The 19,568-nt window shown below is 53.3% G+C and overlaps 14 annotated features.

The window, feature by feature from the left end:
* Positions 178-247: an enhancer, noted in NCBI's record as "active region_9792". NCBI's record gives its function as "activates an Ori minimal core promoter by ATAC-STARR-seq in GM12878 lymphoblastoid cells {active_cell/tissue: GM12878}" and the evidence as "EXISTENCE:reporter gene assay evidence [ECO:0000049][PMID:35858748]".
* Positions 268-387: an enhancer, noted in NCBI's record as "active region_9791". NCBI's record gives its function as "activates an Ori minimal core promoter by ATAC-STARR-seq in GM12878 lymphoblastoid cells {active_cell/tissue: GM12878}" and the evidence as "EXISTENCE:reporter gene assay evidence [ECO:0000049][PMID:35858748]".
* Positions 2,995-3,289: a silencer, noted in NCBI's record as "tiled region #4992; K562 Repressive DNase matched - State 8:EnhW". NCBI's record gives its function as "represses a minimal TATA promoter and a strong SV40 promoter by Sharpr-MPRA in K562 cells {active_cell/tissue: K562}" and the evidence as "EXISTENCE:reporter gene assay evidence [ECO:0000049][PMID:27701403]".
* Positions 3,632-4,162: an enhancer, noted in NCBI's record as "H3K4me1 hESC enhancer chr15:75070096-75070626 (GRCh37/hg19 assembly coordinates)". NCBI's record gives its function as "activates a minimal SCP1, AML or CMV promoter by ChIP-STARR-seq in naive H9 embryonic stem cells {active_cell/tissue: H9 hESC(naive)}" and the evidence as "EXISTENCE:reporter gene assay evidence [ECO:0000049][PMID:30033119]".
* Positions 6,379-6,448: an enhancer, noted in NCBI's record as "active region_9790". NCBI's record gives its function as "activates an Ori minimal core promoter by ATAC-STARR-seq in GM12878 lymphoblastoid cells {active_cell/tissue: GM12878}" and the evidence as "EXISTENCE:reporter gene assay evidence [ECO:0000049][PMID:35858748]".
* Positions 6,469-6,578: an enhancer, noted in NCBI's record as "active region_9789". NCBI's record gives its function as "activates an Ori minimal core promoter by ATAC-STARR-seq in GM12878 lymphoblastoid cells {active_cell/tissue: GM12878}" and the evidence as "EXISTENCE:reporter gene assay evidence [ECO:0000049][PMID:35858748]".
* Positions 7,678-8,255: an enhancer, noted in NCBI's record as "NANOG-H3K27ac-H3K4me1 hESC enhancer chr15:75066003-75066580 (GRCh37/hg19 assembly coordinates)". NCBI's record gives its function as "activates a minimal SCP1, AML or CMV promoter by ChIP-STARR-seq in primed H9 embryonic stem cells {active_cell/tissue: H9 hESC(primed)}" and the evidence as "EXISTENCE:reporter gene assay evidence [ECO:0000049][PMID:30033119]".
* Positions 9,212-9,925: an enhancer, noted in NCBI's record as "H3K27ac-H3K4me1 hESC enhancer chr15:75064333-75065046 (GRCh37/hg19 assembly coordinates)". NCBI's record gives its function as "activates a minimal SCP1, AML or CMV promoter by ChIP-STARR-seq in naive H9 embryonic stem cells {active_cell/tissue: H9 hESC(naive)}" and the evidence as "EXISTENCE:reporter gene assay evidence [ECO:0000049][PMID:30033119]".
* Positions 9,926-10,641: an enhancer, noted in NCBI's record as "H3K27ac-H3K4me1 hESC enhancer chr15:75063617-75064332 (GRCh37/hg19 assembly coordinates)". NCBI's record gives its function as "activates a minimal SCP1, AML or CMV promoter by ChIP-STARR-seq in naive H9 embryonic stem cells {active_cell/tissue: H9 hESC(naive)}" and the evidence as "EXISTENCE:reporter gene assay evidence [ECO:0000049][PMID:30033119]".
* Positions 13,806-14,583: an enhancer, noted in NCBI's record as "H3K4me1 hESC enhancer chr15:75059675-75060452 (GRCh37/hg19 assembly coordinates)". NCBI's record gives its function as "activates a minimal SCP1, AML or CMV promoter by ChIP-STARR-seq in primed H9 embryonic stem cells {active_cell/tissue: H9 hESC(primed)}" and the evidence as "EXISTENCE:reporter gene assay evidence [ECO:0000049][PMID:30033119]".
* Positions 18,176-18,290: an enhancer, noted in NCBI's record as "fragment used in the pGL3-38k-wt (38N) reporter construct". NCBI's record gives its function as "activates an SV40 promoter in TCDD-treated RWPE-1 epithelial prostate cells and HepG2 liver carcinoma cells {active_cell/tissue: RWPE-1(+TCDD and DMSO) | HepG2(+TCDD and DMSO)}" and the evidence as "EXISTENCE:reporter gene assay evidence [ECO:0000049][PMID:17785579]".
* Positions 18,184-18,190: a protein binding site, noted in NCBI's record as "DRE 2 high affinity site". NCBI's record gives its function as "TCDD-inducible binding to AhR in TCDD-treated RWPE-1 epithelial prostate cells {active_cell/tissue: RWPE-1(+TCDD)}" and the evidence as "EXISTENCE:protein binding evidence [ECO:0000024][PMID:17785579]".
* Positions 18,185-18,283: a transcriptional cis regulatory region, noted in NCBI's record as "range of bases mutated in the pGL3-38k-mut (38X) reporter construct, specifically an ACG->TAT mutation in the DRE 1 site, and a CGT->ATA mutation in the DRE 2 site". NCBI's record gives its function as "necessary for dioxin-responsive activity of the -38 kb CYP1A2 enhancer in TCDD-treated RWPE-1 epithelial prostate cells and HepG2 liver carcinoma cells {active_cell/tissue: RWPE-1(+TCDD and DMSO) | HepG2(+TCDD and DMSO)}" and the evidence as "EXISTENCE:reporter gene assay evidence [ECO:0000049][PMID:17785579]".
* Positions 18,278-18,284: a protein binding site, noted in NCBI's record as "DRE 1 high affinity site". NCBI's record gives its function as "TCDD-inducible binding to AhR in TCDD-treated RWPE-1 epithelial prostate cells {active_cell/tissue: RWPE-1(+TCDD)}" and the evidence as "EXISTENCE:protein binding evidence [ECO:0000024][PMID:17785579]".

Here is a 19,568-nt window from a genome sequence, read left to right as displayed (position 1 = left end):
GGGTCTCTCCTCAGCCGGCCTGGGAGCAACCTCCCAGCCTTCTCTGGACGCAGCTTTCCCGCTGCAGAAGCGCTGGGGGCCGGGCCTGGGCCCCTCTCCTCAGGTCTGTTTGTGGAGAGTGGGCCTGATTCGCAGCAGAAAGCCTTCATTCATTCATTCACCAACATTTCCTGGCGCTGACATCGTGGCGGAGCCTGCTCTGGAGTCTATTGGCAAGACCATTTCACTACCGTCAAGGCGTTCTCGGTCGGGTGGGGGTAGGCTGACAGGCCGACAGACAACGGCAAGGAAATAATTGATCAAAGTGGAGAGGTGGTGGACACGGTTCCCAGGAGGCAGAAAGAAAACTAGGGCTAACGGGGAGACCTCACACCTCACAGAGCCGGGACCAGGCAGAGGGAACAGCATGCACAAGGGCGGGGAGTGCGGAGGGAGCTTGGTGGCTTCTGGGATCTAAATATAGCTCAGGCGGCTGCCGCTTGCAGTGTGGGTGGGGGAGAGTGGTGGGAGATGGGTTCCTGCAAACAACAGGGGCAAAAGAGATCCAAAGAGCCTCATGGGACTTTCTTGGAGTTTATGTTCAGCCTGGAGGCAATAAAGAAGTTGTCAGCAGCTCTGTGACCTTGGGCAAGTTACTTAACCTCTCTGTGCTTTAGTTTCCCCATTTGGTAAAATAGGTGATATATAATGGCACCGACTTCTTAAGTTTTTGTGGGGAGGGGAGGAAATGAGTTAATACGTTTAAAGTGCTTAGTATGCAGTAGCTGGCACGTGAGGAGCCCTCCGTTAAGCAAGGGCTGTTACATCACTGTTAACGAAAAGCAGGGAGATGACCTGCTCTGAGCCACAGGAGAGGACAGCGTGCTCAGGCATGACAGGGGTGGGAGAGTGCAGGGTGGCGGGGGAACAGAATGGGGATGCAGTGATGAGGGTGAGACCGGGGAACAGAATGGGGATACAGTGATGAGGGCGAGACCAGAGACTCCAGCGTAGGGAGGAGGTAAAGGTGGGGGACTTTCTAGGGACTAGACCCTGAAGCAAGGGTCAGGCTTGGGTGGACAGAGGGAAGAGGCACTCTTGGGGTTGGGGGGGAGGAAGTGGGGCATGCTGACAAAGTCTTGGAACACAAAATAAGCATGAAGAGGCCCGAGGGAGCGAGAAGAGGGCAAACAGCCCTGTGGGAGACGGAGCTGGGAGACAGTGTGGCTGCAGATTGTTTTAAAGAGCCTCGGATGCCAGGAGGAGTTGCCCCCAAAACCACAGGTCGGCCCTCTGACCCAGGGCACCCTTAGGCCGGTTTCCCAGCTGGAGCCAGCCCTTTGGAGAGGGATGTCCTTTGAGGAGACAGCCAGTAAGTTTCAGAGATAGGTGTGGTGTAACAGAAAAAAGATGAATTTGGGGTTCAAGTCTCCAAGTTAAATTTCAACCCGTCCACTTACTAGCTGTGTGACTTAGGGCTAGTTACCTAAGGTCTCTGAGCTGTTTCCTCTTTTGTAAGATCAGGCTCAAAATATACTTCTCTCATGATAGATAGTGCAGATTCAGCAAGATAACGGCCTGGGGGTGAGGGAGTGGAAAGGGTGCTCAGCAGAGCTGGTTTCCCTTTCTTTCCTCTGAGGTCAAGATGGAATGATAATATGGGGCCGGATGGGGGGCCGCCTCTCAGCCTACAAGAAAGCACTTCAGCAGCTCTGCAAAGCCTTCTGGGAGGGAGAAATTGACATCTCCCCTCCCCTGGCTGAATCAGCTAGCAGAATGGGAAAGAAAAGACTGGGGATTTGGGGAAAATACTCTAATCCCTGTTCCAGTTTTGTCACCAACCTTTCTTTATCCCCAAATGCACTTGACTTTTTCCCCTGGGTGTGCTGTGGCCCAGCTGTGAACTTTGGAGTCAAATAGACCAGCATTTGAATCCTGGCTCCACCTCTTCTCAGCAAAGTGAAATAAATTTTTTAATCTTCCTGTACTCCAGGCACTGGGGATAAAACCATAAACAAATCGATAAAGGGCCCCACTCCCACAGACCTGTCCTCTGGTGGAATTATTGGGCTGGGCGCCGTGGCTCACACCTATAATCCCAGCACTTTGGGAGGCCGAAGCAGGCAGATCACAAGGTCAGGAGATCGAGACCATCCTGGCTAACATGGTGAAACCCTGTCTCTACTAAAAATACAAAAAATTAGCTGGGCGTGGTGGCGGGTGCCTGTAGTCCCAGCTACTGGGGAGGCTGAAGCAGAAGAATGGTGTGAACCCAGGAGGCGGAGCTTGCAGTGAGCCGAGATCACGCCACGGCACTCCAGCTTGGGCAATAGAGCGAGACTCTGTCTCAAAAAAACAAAACAAAACAAAACAAAACAAAAAAACAAATGCTTATTGAGCACCTACTAAGTGCTAGGTGGGAAGTGCTAATTAGGGAAAGGGAATCTGGTCGGTGGGAGCAAGGGAAAGCAAAAAGAGAAATTAGATAAGCTGTGAGTCTGCCTTTCTTCATGTCTAGGACATATAGCTCTCCTGTGCAAATAATTCACAATCTTCCTGTGCCCGACTATCACCAGACTCCTGCAAGTTAGCTCACTGTACCCTTGGCAAGTTAGCTCACTGTACCCTTGGCGTTTGATACTGCACAAAAACCTCCTCAACAGATAGCATAACACTAATTCTATAAAATCTCCAACAACCTTTTGTTTCCTGGCAGTCAGCTTCTCTTCTGCCTTCTTGCAATGTATTTTCCTACTTTTTCTAATAAATCTGCCTTTATCTACAACTGTCTTAGTAAGTTTTTGTTTTGTTTTGTTTTGTTTTTTGTTTGTTTGTTTTGAGACGGAGTCTTGTTCTGTTGCCCAGGCTGGAGTGCAGTGGCATGATCTCGGCTCACCACAACCTCCCGCTCTGGCATTCAACCATTCTTCTGTCTCAGCCTCCCACGTAGCTGGTACTATAGGTGTGTGCCACCATGTTCAGCTAATTTTTGTGTTTTTAGTAGCGATGGTTTTCACCATGTTGGCCAGGCTGGGCTCAAACTCCTGACCTCAAATAATCCACCCACCTTGGCCTCCCAAAGTGCTGGGATTACGGGCGATAGCCACCACGCCCCAGGCCAGTGTTGGAGGAGTGGGGGAGGGTATTGCAGGTGGGGAGGAAGATAGTGAAAGACCCTGAGGCACAGAAAGCCTCAGTGGCTCAAGGGACAGCCAGAAGGCCAAGGTGATGAGACCGGCAAGCAGGGGAGAGTGGTGTTTGAGGAAGGGACAGATTCTATAGGGTGTTGTGGGCCAGAGATTTTTATTACAGGAGTTTAGGTTTTATCATATGAGCAATGGGGAGCCATTGAAAGATGTTTATAAGCAGGGTAGTGATATGATAAAGAGTGAAGGTCGGCTGGGCCCTGTGGCTCTCGCCTGTGATCCCAGCACTTTGGGAAGCTGAGGCAAGAGGATCACTTGAGGCCAGGAGTTTGAGACCAGCCTGGGCAACAGAGCAAGACCCTGTCTCTACAAAAAAAAAATTTCTAATTAGCTAGGCATGGTGGTGTGTGCTGGTAGCTAGCAATCTTCCCATCTCAGCCAGGCTGAGGTGGGAGGATCACTTAGGGTGGGAAGATGGAGGCTGCAGTGAGCCACTGAACTTCAGCCTGTGCAACAGAGTGAGACCCTGACTCCAGAAAAAAAAAAAAAAAAAGTTAAGGTCAAAGGTCAAAGCCCTAGTGAGGAGGCTGTTGCATGGCCTGGACCAGGGCTGACGGGTCTAGCCCTGGTGGAAGCAGCGGGATAGGGAAGTGAATGGACAAAGGCAAGTCCCAGGGCAGCTCTCCGTGAGGGGTTGTTTGTGGGGAGTGAGGCCACAGGAGAAATCAGGCATGACTCCTCAGTCCTCAGGTGTGGCTGGAGCACCTGGGGAGATGGTGCGAGATGGGAGAACCTGGGGAGAGTGCCAGGCTGGGGGAACACTCAGGAGTTTGGTTTTGGACAAAATGAGCTTGGGATGCCTGTGAAATGTGGAGTCAAGGCAGTGTTGGGAACTGAACACTAGCTCTCTGAGGCTGGGCCACTCTTGCCTGGCTGTTGGGCCTGCCCCAGGGGAATGGAGAAGAGAGGAGAGGTTGGAGACCCACCCCTGGATGTGGGGAACCAGAGAGAAGCTTCTGGCTGCATTTTGATGATACAAGTGCCAAATGGGATAGCTCCATGCAAAGTTGGGTTGGCCTCCAGCAGTCCAGAGCTTATGCACATGTATGTGCATTTATACCCTTATGGGGTCCCCTGGGAAGGGAAGGGCCGCTCCTCTCTCCACCCAGCCTCCTCCCCTCCCCCAGCCTCTTTGCACAGAGATGACAGTTTAGAGAAGCTGGTGTGAAATAGCTTGAAACTCAGACCGTCTGGGCAGTCCCCCAGGGCAGAAAACAGGAAGCCAAGATTAAAGGCAGATTTCCAGCAAAGTCCCCTTCTATTTCCTGCAGAGCAGGTGCTCAGGCTGAGTTGGCTGCTAGCAAGAGGGGCCGGGCAGCTTCCCTTGCTGACAGCACCTCCAGGCCCCCCGCAGTGGCTGGCTTTCCAGCTTTGGGAGCTGTCCTTTGGCCCTGTCATCACCATCCCCACCAGGCCCTTAAGGAATGCGCCTCCTCCGGAAAGAGGCTGTCGCGGGAGTCATCACTAGGAAAGAGGCTTAACGGTGGCACAGACAGGAAGCAGAACTTGGGGGCACCCGTGAGGCAATGGGACCAAGCAGAAAAGGCATGGGCCGTGGGTCACTCAGGCCTGGCATGAATCCAAGGTGCAGGGTGCAGGGTGCAGGGTCTCACTGAGCTGTGGGGATGGGTTGAGACATGAAAGTAGGGGGAAAGGGGCCTTCAGGGAAGGTGGCCAGGGAGATCCGGCCAGTGCTGGGGCTGAGTGTCTCTAGGGAGAAACAGGGAGAAGCCAAGAGGCCACAGTAGCCCTTGTCATCTTAATGCCAGGGGCCTGTTGGCTGAGTGCCAGCTGAGGCCCACAGATAGCAAAGACTCAGGGAACCAGGGGCCAGGACAGGCCTCCCCTGTGACCTCTGCCCCTTCCTGCCTGACCTGCGGGAGAGCAGGCTCTTGGGGATTCCATCAAGTCAAGCAGCTGAGACTTCCTCCTGCAGAGATAAACCTTGGCCTTCCCAATAACCCCTCTCGCCCTCCTGAGAAGGCCTGAGCTCCCATCCTTCCAAAGCTGTCCTTTGGAGGAAACATGTCTGCCTGAATCTAGGCACTGAAAACCTCCCTCCTAAGGCTGGAAAGTTTATTATGAGGATGAGGCATTGGCCCAGGAGACCCAGGTTCTAGGGACAGACACTGCTTCTTTTTTTTTTTTTTTTGAGATGGAGTCTCGCTTTGTCGCCCAGTCTGGAGTGCATGGTGTGATCTCGGCTCACTGCAACCTCTGCCTCCCAGGTCCAAGCAATTCTCCTGCCTCAGCCTCCCGAGTAGCTGGGATTACAGGCGCCACCACCACACCCGGCTAATTTTTGTATTTTTAGTAGAGATGGGGTTTTACCATATTGGCCAGGCTGGTCTTGAACTCCTGAACTTGTGATCCGCCCGCCTTGGCCTCCCAAAGTATTGGGATTACAGGTGTGAGCCACCGCGTCCGGCCGACACTGCTTCTTACTTTGGGCCAGTCCTTCTCCTCTAGGCCTGTTTCCCTACCTAGCAACTGAAGGGTTTGGATTTGGTGATCCATAGGTCTGAATCCCTGTGTACAAGTGGAGGACCTTGGGAGTAAGGTGGGGAGGGGCTGCTGACTGCCTCTAATTTCTGTCCCCCTGGGACCAGAGAACTATCATTTACTGAACACCTACTATGTGCCAGGTACTTTATTATTATCATTGATAATAGCAGCTAATATTTATTGAGCACTTACTATGCACAACCGCTTTTCATGTCAGACCAAGGTCAGCTCTCTCCACTGCACCAGTTTGCTCCAAGAGGATTTCCTGAGAAGTTAGTTTTTGTTTCCCGTCGCGATGATGGTAGAAGTCTTGATTTGTTGGCTTGGTGGCTTGAGTGGTGTGGTGGTGACCCAACTGAGAGGCCACTGGGAACTGGAGGACCCCACCCTCGGGGCCTGAGGCAGCCAGCACTCAGGGGTTAACTGGCAGACCCCTGATCGCAAAGGTTTTGGGTCCTGGGCTTCCTGGTTTGATATCTCCCTAGAGAGGGCAGATCCAGAGCCAAGTCTATGACAAGAGTTCGCCAAGGTGCCTGGGATCCCTGCAGGCTGTCCCAGCGCCTCCCCCACGCACACGATTCCCTCCTCCTGGGTCCCTATCTTCTTGGAATGTTCTGTCTTGTGGGGGCAGAGGTGTTCAACAAGGCGAGGCAAGTTCCCAGAGGATTGTGCAAGTGCAGTGTGAGTGCGGAGCAGAGACCTCTCCTCACCTGAGCACTCAGACCCTGCAGGAGGAGAGGTGGTGCCTGGGGGCCTGGCAGAGGGGGCAACAGGAGCAGAGGCCCTGGAACTGGAAGGGATTGAGCTTTGGGCAAAAGGAAAACAGGCCAGGATGGGATGGGGTCAGAGCCTTGGAAGCAGAGGCGCAAATGGCCAGAGCCTGTAGGATCCCCTGTGGAATAGGGGAGTCTTTGGACTTCATCCTTAGGGCATCGGGGCCCCGCCCCCATGCTATTTGAGGGTTCACCACAGCCTCAGCTGATCAGATTTGCATGTTAAAAATATTACTTCTGCTTCTGGTTGGAGAATTGACTGGCTGTCCTCGGGAAGCTTTGATGACCTCTTCCCACATCCCAAGGCTGGAAGCCTCCCCTCTGCTATTGTCCCTCACTGGCCCACTTCTTAGTATTATAGCACTGACTACCCACTTCGTATTTGTGTCCTGATCGGCTGCTGGAGGCTGAATCCTGGTACTCAAACGTTTGTTGAATGAATAAGTGATATGAATTTCAATTAATAATAATAATAATAGGCAATGCTAATGTAGGTGTTGCATGTGCTAGCATCATTCTAAGCATTTTACGTGTCTTTTTGTTTGTTTGTTTTTGAGACAGAGTCTTGCTCTGTTGCCCAGGCTGTAGTGCAGTGGTGCGATCTCATCTCCTGCAACCTCCACTGCCACCCCCCTCCCCCCACCCTGGGTTCAAGTGATTCTCCCACCTCAGCCTCCCAGCAAGTAGCTGGGACCACAGGCACATGCGTGCCATCACACCCAGCTAATTTTTGTATTTTTAGTAGAGACAGGGTTTCGCCATCTTGGCCAGGCTGGTCTGGAGCTCCTGAGCTCAAGTGATCCACCTGCCTTGGCCTCCCAAAGTGCTGGGATTACAGGTGTGAGCCACCGCACCCTGCTGTTTACTTTTTTTTTGAGAAAGGGTCTCCCTATGTGCCTAGGATGGTTTTGGAGCTTCTAGGCTCAAGCAATCCTTCTGCCTCAGCCTCTCAGAGTAGCTGGGACTACAGGGGCCTGCCTGGCTATTCTACATGTCTTAAGTTTCATTTGATCCTCCCAATCTCTTTACAATGTAGATATTATTATTACTTCTATTTGCAGATAAGAAAACTAAAGAGGGATTTAAGGAGGACACAGTCACCAGATCCCAGCTGGGGGAAAAGGGACCCGGGATGCCACCACATCATTCTTGCTCAATTTATTACAAAGTCTTCCAGGTTGGAGTCCTGGCTGCACCCCATCCCAGCCTTGTGACCTTAAGCAAAAGTCACTGAACCTTTCTGAGCCTCAGTTTCCTCATCTCTAAAGTGGGACTGAGAGGACCCATGTCACAGGGGACTTATGCTAAACCGAGATGATGTAAAGTTGCTTGCTTAGCAGGGTTCTTTGACACAAGGCAGACTTTCACACCACGGCAGTTAGATGAATATTTTTTCTCTCACTCCTGAAACAGGCTTTGTAGTTCTGGCTCTCCCCTGCTGGGTTCAGTCGGGCTTTCCAAGGGTAGGGCCAGGCCTTTTGTCTGTTCCTAGGCCTACAGTTTCGCAATGGCTGATGAATTGAAAACCCTCATTCATCCATTCACTAAATATTGAGGGCGTGTTTACTACCTTCCAGGCACTGGAGCAGCTGGAATTGGGCAGAGCCAGAGCTACCTGGTTCCCACCTGGAGTCCTGGGCTCACAGCAGGCTGACATATCTCCCTCAATGCTGTCAGGGGTCACTTTTGTGCTGAACCCAATAGTCCCCAGGCTCTGCCTTGCTGACTGGAAGCCGCAGTTGGCACTGTTCTGGCTTTCCTCCTGGGAACTCTTTGGGCGAAAGCAGGAAAAGAGGCCCTGGGGTTCTCTGCAGTGCAAAGGTTAGAGACCTGGCCCAAGGTGGGGCAGGTGAGAAGGAGCAGGAGGTCTGCTCTGCGAGGGCTGGGAAGAGAGAGCAACTGGGCACTGGTGAGCCTCAGGCCCAGCTTTTGCAAAACCCATGCAAATGCCCCCGCCCAGGTGTTACACCTGTGAAGAAACCTGTGTGCCAACATTGTCCCTGTCAGAGATCAGAGGAGCTTTTGAAAGACCTCCTTGCCTGATTGGGGGTGGGGTGGAACTGGGCTGGGGGCTGGGGCCAGGGATAGATACTCCCTGAGCCGGAGGAGACTTTGGAAGCCCCAGTGAGTCAGGGATGAGGCCTGGAGGGCCCTTTGTCAGGGGACTCCAGAGGACCTGGAGGGAAATGCCCCTTCCTTTTGGCCCGTAAGACCCCCAGAATTTCCTTCTAGAGAGTGTGTGTTTGGGTGAGGTGAGCTCCGTGAGGACAGGGACTGGCTCCCTTTCTTCTGTCTCTCCATGGGAAGGCACAGAGCCTGTAGCCATAAATGTGTGCTGAATGAATACGTGAGTGACCAGATTTTCCCCCGGGGGTCTCAGGGCTCCCGTTCCAAGGAGAAGCTCCTTGCCTGCATCCCTATTGCCCGCGCCCCAGTCTATCTTCTTGAATCCCTAACTGGAAGCTTTGGGTCTCCAGGAGTGCTCTCCTGACATTGAGGTAGCCCCGGGAGGTCCCAGTCACCTCTCCCTCCAGCCAGGGTCAGTTCCTTCTTTTCTTTTTTTTCTTTTATTTTGAGACAGAGTCTCACTTTGTCGCCCAGGCTGGAGTGTAGTAGAGCGATCTTGGCTCCCTGCAAGCTCCATCTCCCAGGTTCAAGTGATTCTCCTGCCTTAGCCTCCTGAGTAGCTGGGACTACAGGCGTGTGCCACTATGCCTGGCTAATTTTTGTATTTTCAGTAGAGATGGGGTTTCACCATGTTGGCCGGGCTGGTCTTGAGAAATCCTGACCTCAAGTGATCCACCTGCCTCGCCCTCCCAAAGTGCTGGGATTACGGTGTGAGCCACCGAACCCAGGGCCGATCCTTTTTTTTTTTTTCTGAGACAGGGTCTTGCTCTGTCACCCAGGCTGGAGTACAGTGGTGCGATATCAGCTCACTGCAACCTCTGCCTCCTGGGCTCAAGCAATCCTCCTACCTCATCCTCCCGAGTAGCTGGGACTACAGGTGCATGCCACCACGCCCAGCTAATTTTTGTATTTTTAGTAGAGACGGGGTTTCACCATGTTGGCCGGGATCGTCTCGATCTCTTGACCTCATGATCTGTCTGTGTTGGCCTCCCAAAGTGTTGGGATTACAGGAGTGAGCCACCGCGCCCAGCCTGGGGCCAGTTCTTATCCCCTAAAGATTCCCACCCTCACCCCGCAGCCAGGTTGCCTCCTGCAGCCTGCAGCCCTCAGCGACTCCAAGTCCTCTGCAGCTGGTGGTGTAGCCAGCTCTCAATGCCTGTCTCCACCAAGTGACCAGCCAGCAGTGTGTTTGGCAGCTCACTGAGGAGGCCCACCAGGTGGGCTGCTGGGAGCCAGCCCCTTGCGTGGGGCCTGGCGCGGGTGCTGACACCCACCTCCACCCCCCGCTTTGCTGAATGAGTGAGGATAGATGTTGGGGAGACAGGACCAAAGCTTGGGATGAGTCAGGCCGGCTAGGGCCAGGATGTGTGACTGGGGCCCAGGGAGATGATGTTTGCTGGCAGTGCCCTGTTCCAGCCGCACTGGAGCCCTTACTTTCCCTGGGTGACTGCCCTATTCCCAGCTTGGTTCTCTGTCTTTGTGAGCGGGGCATTTATTTTCTGCTAATGTTAGCTGGAGGTCAGTCTCTGTTGTTTGTGACTTAGAAGCCTGACTGGTGCCCCCTGACCCCACCCCCATCATGGCGGGTGGGAAGATGAGGTCAGGTCTTGCGTTTGAAGTGCCAGATTCACAGCAATTAGACAAAGGCCATTGTCTTCCCTTGCACTCTGGGTGATTACTCGCCTCCTGCCTCTTTCAGAATCTAGAATTCAGGCCTGGCTTGGTGGCTCACGCCTGTAATCCCAGCACTTTGGGAGGCCGAGGTGGGCGGATCACTTGAGCTCAGGAGTTTAAGACCAGCCTGGCCAACGTGGTGAAACCCTGTCTCTACTAAAAATACAAAAAATTAGCCAGGCGTGATAGTGCACGCCTGTAGTCCCAGCTACTCAGAGACTGAGGCAGGAAAATCGCTTGAACCCAGGAGGTGGAGGTTGCAGTGAGCGGAGATTATGCCACTGCACTCCAGCCTGGGCGACAGAGCGAGACTCCATCTCAAAAAAAAAGAGAAAATCTAGAATCCAGTCTGGTCTCTGGTGGCGCTGGGCTGTTGGTCTACTCGGGTCTGAGGGGGAACAGCGCCTCCTGGTGGCCACAACACAGAGCTCAAGGGGAAGGAATGAGAGAGCGACAGAGAGGCAGGCAAGGTCACACTGCCCTGTCGGGCAGGCTCAGAGGCACGCCTGGAGAGCAGGCGCATGTCTGCTCTGGGAAAGATGAGCCGTTTGGCTCCTGGGAGGACCATGTCCCAGGCTTACCTAGGGCTGGAGCCAGAGCTGACTGTTCCCGATTGCGAGCATCACAGGGCAGGTCCTGGGTGGATGAGGGCAGGGAGCTGGAAGGGGCCCCATTTGGCTGTGGAATAACTTTTCTAGAGGAGGTGCTGGGGGGTGGGTGAGCCAGATCAGCATATGGCTGCTGGGACCCCACAGGGCCCCCTACCGTGGGCTGCTCCCTGATTTGAAGGCCACCACCACGCTGGCCCCTGGGGATCCTGGATTGGCCTCAGTGTTGCTGACATCCTCAGATTTTCCTGAGTAATAAGAGCAAAGTGAGGACAGGTAGGAAGGCACACTTTGTTGAACACCTACTGTGTGCTGGGTGTTTGCACATTTGCTCTCATTTGATCATCTTCCTTCAAGGAAAACAGTAGCATCTAGATCTTAACTGTAGGGCAAGGGAGACCCACAGAGGGTGATTTACAGAACCACCCCAGAGCCTGAACTCTTTTTCCTGCCCCATGAGGAGGTCACCAGATGGCAGCTGCAGAGACCCCAGGCCCCAGGTCCTAGGTTTGCTCGGCAGTGAAGGGCTGCAAGTTGGGGGAGATGTTTGCCTTCTGCCTGCCAGCCCTCCATGTAGACCTTCAGAAGCTTCTGGTGCAGGGACCATCTCCTGCTGGACATGGTTGGGGTAGGAGGGTCTGGTTGCAACAGTCCTGGACCTTGAGGTGGGAGGCAGAGATAGGGCACAGGTGGAGGCAGGGCCAGGAAGGAGGAGCATGACATAGCAGGCTGGGGTCAAACTCCTGACTTCACAGTCTGCCCTGAGCCTTCTCCGCAGCTTTTGGCTTGGTCCAGGCCCTTTGAGGGGAATGCCAAGTTGGAGTGTCATGTGTTGCCCCAGTCACTTCTGCATGGGCTCCAAGAGCCACCAGCAAGCTTGAGGCCAGATCCAACTCCGCAAATGACTAGAGGTGTCATCCTGGGCAAGTGACCTCCTGCGCCTCTGTCCCCATCTGCCCAGTGGGCATTAGCACATCGCTATCACAGCGAGCTTTAAGGACTAAGTGGGACAAAGTGCCAGGAGGGACCTGGCATGGAGCAGGTGCTCGGGGAACTTCGGCTGATTCTCAAGTGAAAGCAGAAGCAAGGGGGCAGCTGGACTGCAGCCATCTCCAAGATCCTGGAATTTAATCCCTTTGAATATAAGATCCCTGAGAAGAGGCAGGTGGAGGTGTAGGTCCGTGAAGAACTGGCCGCTCTCATCCCTGTGCCTTTGGCACACCTGCAACCCTCGTTTTCTCACCTGTTGCTCCAGCTAAGTGAGCAATGTGAGAGTCCCAGGAGGTTACAAATGGATCTGCACCATCAGTGTTCCCAGTGCCCCAGCACAGAAAATATAATGAATCAGCCTTGAGGGTAGTGAGCTCTCTGTTCTTAAAAGTATGAGAACAGAAGTTGAACTCCTGGCAGGGAGTTAGATGAGGAATTGGTGTTTTTTTTGTTTTGTTTTGTTTTTTTGAGATGGAGTCTTGCTCTGTCACCCTGCCTGGAGTGTAGTGGCGTGATCTTGGCTCACTGCAACCTCTGCCTCCTGGGTTCAAGCGATTCTCCTGCCTCAGCCTACTGAGTAGCTGGGATTAAAGGTGCCTGCCACCATACCTGGCTATTTTTTTTTTTTTTTTTTGTAGTTTTAGTAGAGACGGGGTTTTACCCTGTTGGCCAGGCTGGCCTCGAACTCCTGACCTCATGTGATCAGCTCGCCTCAGCCTCCCAAAGTGCTGGGATTATAGGTGTGAGCCAGCACGCCTGGCCTGCACGAGGAATTTCTACTCCAGGTGGGTCTATGAGGACCAGGCTGGGGAATGAGAGGAAGTGGGGGGCTGTCCTCTGGCCACTCTTAGTGGCTTCTCTAGAATTTCTGCATAGGACTGACTTGAGACTTGTCTTGAAGTTGTATTTGCAAAACAAAGTCGCTTATTCCTTAGGTTGCCTTTTTATTTGGGGTGGGGTCCCCAAGACAGTGGGTAAAGGCTAGCAGCTATGAGAAACATGTGTTTCTCTAACTGCCCACGAGGGGGCAGCCTACACTGCATTTTCGGCTCCAGTTCTTGGCTGGGGAGAGTGACGCGGGCAGATCCTGACATGAGGACAGGGCTGGGGGCTGATGGATTGGGAAGAATTGGGCATCAGATGGGTGTGGGGCGGGGGCTATTCTTCTCCCCATAGATCACAAGCCCGACTTTTTTGGGGTTAGGAGGAACAGGCAAGGTGGGAAGCTTTCCTTTCAACAGTGAATCCTGCCACTGGAAAAATTTAGTAGAATTTGAAGACCACGGTTGTAGCAAGCGTCCAGGAAGCGTTTCAGCTCGACATTTCGGGACAGATTCCTGCCTCTCCGGGGCAAGGAGCACGTGACAGCATGGCTGCTGGGAGGAAGGGAGCCCCGCACATTGTGCACATGTACCCTAAAACTTAAAGTATAAATAAATAAATAAATAAATAAATAAATAAATAAATAAAAGAAAAGCCCCCAGAGGGCGGCCCTGAGCTCACATAGGACAGTTAAGCAGGGGACTTGAGGCACGGTGGTGAGCTGGAGCTCCTCTGTCATCCCCTGGGTGGGAGGAACCTGGTGCTGGCTTGTGTGTAGTGCGTATCTACCCACTTCAGCCTCCCAAAGTGCTGGGATTACAGGCTCATTGCAGAGCTCCTGGCCTTTTCCCCGGGCAGCCACTCGCAGCAGGCCCAGTGACATCCTGGGTGGATGAGGGCAGGGAACCGAGAGCGGCTGGAGGGGAAGGAGATGGGATAGGACCATTTCTGGAAAGAATGGGTGGATTGGTCACTCAGAGAACAGCAGAACCCAGCCCTTCCAGGAACCATCCCCAGAAGCCCCTTCTGGCTCTGGATGGGCTTTTCTAGATGGGGTGCTACAGGGGTGAGCCCGATGTATATGTGGCTGCCAGGACTCCCCACAGTCCCCTGAGTCTGAGCCCCTGTGCATCCGCAGCTTATGCATGTAGCATTATCAGCGCAGGATGCTCACACTGGTTTAGCACAGTGCGCCTGTAGGCACCGGGAAGTTCTGACTCTCCCTTGGAGTGGGGCCTGGAGCCCCTCTCTGGGTGAGGGGATGGCCTCACCTCTCTCTGGGTGAGAAGGCAGCCCCTTCTCAAACTCATCGGGTGCATCCCTGGGGACACAGGGCAGAAAGACCCATGACCCCCTTTGGGCTCCAAGTTGGGGGTGCAGGGCAGAGGCCAGAGAGCTCAGCCAGAGCCTAGCAGACCCCAGGCGGGCAAGGAGGAAATTATACCGAGTCCCACCCACTGCCTGTTTGCCCAGCTGCAGGGGAGCCTGGCAGGAGCCAGGATAGGATTCTGCAGCCCTGGGGCAGCAGGGACTAGGAGGGGACTGGCCTGGCAGAATGAAGGCTGGGTTTTCAGCCTTGCCCGTACACCACCTTCCTGGAAAGAAGACCTTCTTCCCAGGAAAAGAAAAGCCCCCGGAGGGTGGCCCTTTCCTTCCCGTCCTGGTCTTTACAATCTTGCAAAAGGTCCCCAAATGCATACCTGAAATACCTCTGAGTTCATAGAGCCAAAAAGATCTAGGTTTCAGTTCTGGCTCTTCTGCTTTCCTGAAGAAGCCATCTTCCCTCTCTGAACCTCTGTCTCTCCATCTCTAAATTTGGGTTATTTCACAGGTGAGGCTATGCCTTTCCTAAGAGGGGTGATAATTTGCCTTCAAGCACACAGTAACCCCTTTCCTGCCTCAGGACCTTTGCACAGGTTGGTCCCTCTGCCTAGAACTCTTTTTCCTCTTTTTTTTTTTTTTGATTTTTTATTTTTTGAAGCAAAGTATCGCTCTATCTCCCAGGCTGGAGTGCAGTGGTCCGATCTCGATCTTGGCTCACTATAACCTCCGCCTCCCGGGTTCAAGCGATTCTCCTGTCTCAGCTTCCCGAGTAGCTGGGACTACAGGCATCCGCCACCACTCCCGGATAATTTTTGTATTTTTAGTAGAGACAGAGTTTCACCATATTGGCCAGGCTGGTCTCGAACTCCTGACCTTGTGATCCGCCCGCCTCAGCCTCCCAAAGTGCTGGGATTACAGGCGTGACCCACCGCGCCCACCCTCCTCTTTTCTTTTCTTTTCTTTTTTCAGATGGAGTCTCGCTCCTTCGCCTGGGCTGGAGTGCAATGGCACAATCTTGGCTCACTGCAGCCTCCGCCTCCTGGGTTCAAACAATTCTCCTGCCTCAGCCTCCCGAGTAGCTGAGATTACAGGCATTCACCACTATGTCTGGCTAATTTTGTGCTTTTAGTAGAGACGGGGTTTCTCCATGTTGAGGCTGGTCTCGAACTCCTGACCTCAGGTGATCCACCCGCCTCAGCCTCCCAAAGTGCTGGGATTACAGGCGTGAGCCACCGCGCCCGGCATACCTGGCTATTTTTTTTTTTTTTGAGATGGAGTCTCGCTCTGTTGCCCAGGCTGGAGCGCAGTGGCATGATCTGGGCTTACTGCAACCTCTGCCTCCCAATGCCCAGCTAATTTTTGTAGTTTTAATAGAGACAGAGTTTCACCATGTTGGCCAGGCTGGTCTTGAACTCTTGACCTCAGATGATCCTCCTGCCTCAGCCCCCCAAAGTGCTGAGATTACAGGTGTGAGCCACTGTGCCCAGCCAACCTTTTTTTTTTTTTTTTAATGGGCTCTCGTTCTGTTGCCCAGGCTGGAGTGCAGTGGAGCCATCTCAACTCACTGCAACCTCTACCTCCCAGGCTCAAGCAATCCTCCCACCTCAGCCTCCCGAGTAGCTGGGGTTACAGGCACCCGCCACCATGCCCGGCTAATTTTTATATTTTTAGTAGAGATGGGGTTTTCACCATGTTGGCCAGGCTGGTCCTGAACTCCTGACCTGAAGTGATCCACCCACCTCAGACTCCCAAAGTGCTGGAATTACAGAAGTGAGCCAACGTGCCCAGCCTCCATCTTAACCATTTTTAAGTACACAGTTTAGTGGTATTAAATGCACTCATAATGTTGTGCAGCCATCACCACTGTCCATCTCCAGAGCCCTTTCCATCTTGTAAACCTGAAACCCTACCCATTAAACACTAACTCCCCATTCCCCCTTCTCCCCAGCCCCAGGCAACCACTGTTCTGTCTATCTGTAGGGTTTTGACTATTCTAGGTATTTCACAAAAGTGGAACCATACGGTATTTGTGTTTTTGTAACTGGCTTATTTCACTTAGCATAATGTTTAAAGCTTTACTTTTCAACTAAAATTCACTTCCACCAATGATAAATATGAATGCCAACTTTTCAGCACCCTTGCTAACACCATACATCTTTCCCAATGTAATTGGTAAAAAATTATATTTGTAGTTTTAAGTTATAGTTCACTGATGCCAGGCATGGTGGCTCACACCTGTAATCCCAGCACTTTGGGAGGCCAAGATGGGTGGATCACTTGAGGTCAGGAGTTGGAGACCAGCCTGGCCAACATGATGAAACCCTGTCTCTACTAAAAATACAAATATTAGCCAGGCATGGTGATGCATACTTGTAATCCCAGCTACTTGGGAGGCTGAGGTGGGAGGATCGCTTGAACCTGGCAGGTGGAGGCTACAGTGGGCCGAGATTGTGCCACTGCTCTCCAGCCTGGGCGACAGAATGAGACTTCGTCTCAAAAAAAATTGTAGTTTGCCGATTGTAGGTGCAGCCAAGCATCTCTTTATATTTTAAAATATATTTGTGTCTGTTAACAGTTCATGTTTTTCATCTATTTTTTACTGGATTGTTGTTTTTTTTTTTTTTTTTGCTTTTTGTTTTTTGACATGGAGTCTTGCTCTGTCACCCAGCCTGGAGTGCAGTGGCGCGATCTCAGCTCACTGCAACCTCCGCCTCCCTGGTTCAAGCAATTCTCCTGCCTCAACCCCCTGAGTAGTTGGGATTACAGGCACGTGCCACCACGCCCGGCTAACTTTTGTATGTTTAGTAGAGACGGGGGTTTCACCATATTGGCCAGGCTGGTCTCGAACTCCTGACCTCGTGATCCGCCCGCCTTGGCCTCCCAAAGTGCTGGGATTACAGGCATGAGCCACTGCGCCCGGCCTGGATTTTTTTTTTTTAATAGGAACTCTATATATTAAAGAAATTAACCTTTAATCTGTGCATCATTCAGGGTCCCCAGCAGGAAACAGTTTAATTCGAGGAAGGATTAATACAGAGATTATTACACGGGGTTAGGCAGGGAACGGTGGGGGCCCTGAGAGGGTAGTGCCTGAAGAATGCTACTGGGGGAAAGAGCTGCATGGAGAGGATTGCCTCAGAGGACACATCCCCATCTCCTGTGAGAGCCTCCATTCTATGAACCCGTCTAGGAGCCAGAGGGCCAGGGAGTCTGTGGATAGAAGCCCCACAGGTCAGCTTCCCCTCACAGAGCACGGGATGGAGGGGGACTGAAGGGGAGAACTGGAAGCCAACCGGCTTATGTTCCTTGTGTGTCTTCCAACTTGGTTATGATTCTTTGGAATGCAGAAATGATTGATTTTTATGCAGTGGAATCAGTCTTTTCTTTTGCCGCTTCTGGACCTGTGTCAAACTTAGAAAGGCTTTCTCCACTCTCATACTACTTTAAAAAAATCAATTCCTTGCCAGGTGTGGTGGCTCACACCTGTAATCCCAGCACTTTGGGAGGCCAAGGCGGGCGGATCACCAGGTCAGGAGATCAAGACCATCCTGGCAAACACGGTGAAACCCCGTCTCTACTAAAAAATACAAAAAATTGCCAGGTGCGGTGGCTCACGCCTGTAATCCCAGCACTTTGGGAGGCCAAGGCGGGCAGAACACGAGGTCAGGAGATCGAGACCATCCTGGCTAACGCGGTGAAACCCCATCTCTACTAAAAATACAAAAATATTAGCCGGGCGTGGTGGCGGGCGCCTGTAGTCCCAGCTACTCGGGAGGCTGAGGCAGGAGAATGGCGTGAACCTGGGAGGCAGAGCTTGCAGTGAGCCGAGTTTGTGGTGGAGGCACTGACCCAGAGCGCAGCCTGTCTGGTGTGCGATGGTTGCTGAAATTTGCCCAACTGTGCTCAGCTACTTGTTTTATCACTGTGGACCCCCAAAACTCTGGGCAGGGCCTCAGCTTCCCGCCCCCCACTACTGCTGTCCAAGGAGGTAGAGTTACCAGTCCAGGTCTCCCAGCCCTCAGATGTAACCATGGCCCGCCAGCAGGAGCAGAAGCATGCTTCCCAAACCTGCCTGATTACCCAGCCAGCCACCCCACTCCAGCCCCCACCTTGGAGGAAGCACTAATCTGGGGACTTTGAGATTCCATGATTCTCACGGCAAGAAGGACTCTCAGACACGCGAGCCAGCGGCTCCCTTGGCCCTGAGGGCACAGGAGATAGAGGCACACCTGTAAACACATGCCTGGCTACAAACACGCACATACCTGGCTGGCGTGCTGAGCCACCTGAACTGACACCTGGAGAACTCACGCACAGGCATCCACCTGACCACTCCAGGCCACATCTGCCCATGCGCATGCACCCGCTGAGAGCTGGCACTCACGTCTGTTGTTGCCTTATCGACACACCCGAGACTAGGGTTCAAAATGCGTGCCCACGCCTGCTCCCAGCCCCTGCCGGCCCACTGGCACTTTCAGCTGGGCCACCCCAGGTCAGCAAGGCCCAGGGCAGGGTCAGTTTCAGCCAGGCCCCCCAACTCTTCATATTTTCTAGCTGGGGAAATTGATGTCCAGAGTTTCTGGTCAGCAGCCAGCCTGGTGGGGACCCTCTGAGCTATCCTGCTAAGTGTGGATAGGCACGGTGCAAGAACAGCTCCTCATCTGCTCCTGGCCTCCTCCCTGACCCCTGCCTTTAAGAGCCCCCATCTGATGGTGGAGCTGCTGAGACCCCTGGAATGAGTGTGATTGTGTATGAGAGAGAGAGAGGAATGCGGGCCTGTAAGGGAAGTGTCACTACACAAATGAAACTGAGCTGAGTGTTCCAAAAATTTGGGGGGAGAGCATCCCCCAGCCCTCAACAGCATGCCCTGTGCTCTCCAGAGGCATTTCTGGGACCACACCCCTATCTGCAGCACAGGCGTTTTGGCCACTCTGAGCTGGGCCCTTCTCTCTCTCATGTTTTCTGGCTCAGCTGCTGGGTCCCTGATCACCCCTAGTCTGGCTCCTTTCCCTCAGCCTCTCATGCAGTTGGCCAGCATTCCTCGAGACGACTCCGGAACAGGCTACACACGGGGGACACAGAGATGAATGAGAACAGGGCCCTAGACTCTTGTGGGGAACCCAGCCCAGCCCCAGAGAGAGGGTCTGGGACCATCTTCTCTGAAAGAGGGGGCGGGGGAAGCCAGTCCAGGTGGTGAAAACAGGATGTCCCAAGGGTGGCAGGCCTGGAGTGCACAGAGGCCCGCCCCTTGAGCAGCATGGGGGTCTCCAGACTTCCCTGGGGCAGACGTCAGGGGGGCGGCGGCCTGTCCCACTGGGAGGTGAGTTTCCTTCCGGCAGCTCCTTCTCACGCAATGGGCGGGAAGGGGTTGGGGGCCCATTGTTCCCTGGCACGCTACCACCCCCAGCCCTCCCCAGCTTCTGGGTGGGGGGAGCAGTGGAAGGAAGTGGGCTGAGCCCAGGCCCTGGCAAGACCCCAGTGAGAGAGCGCAGGGTTTGGGGAAATGCTGGCTCACGTGTGGGCCTGGTGTGTGCACAGCTGCACATGCCACACGTGTGTCG

The sequence above is a fragment of the Homo sapiens genome, chromosome 15, assembly GCF_000001405.40.
Source record: "Homo sapiens chromosome 15, GRCh38.p14 Primary Assembly".
NCBI lineage: Eukaryota > Metazoa > Chordata > Mammalia > Primates > Hominidae > Homo > Homo sapiens.
Note: the sequence above shows the minus strand (reverse complement) of the source record. Positions and strands in the feature narration are given on the sequence as shown.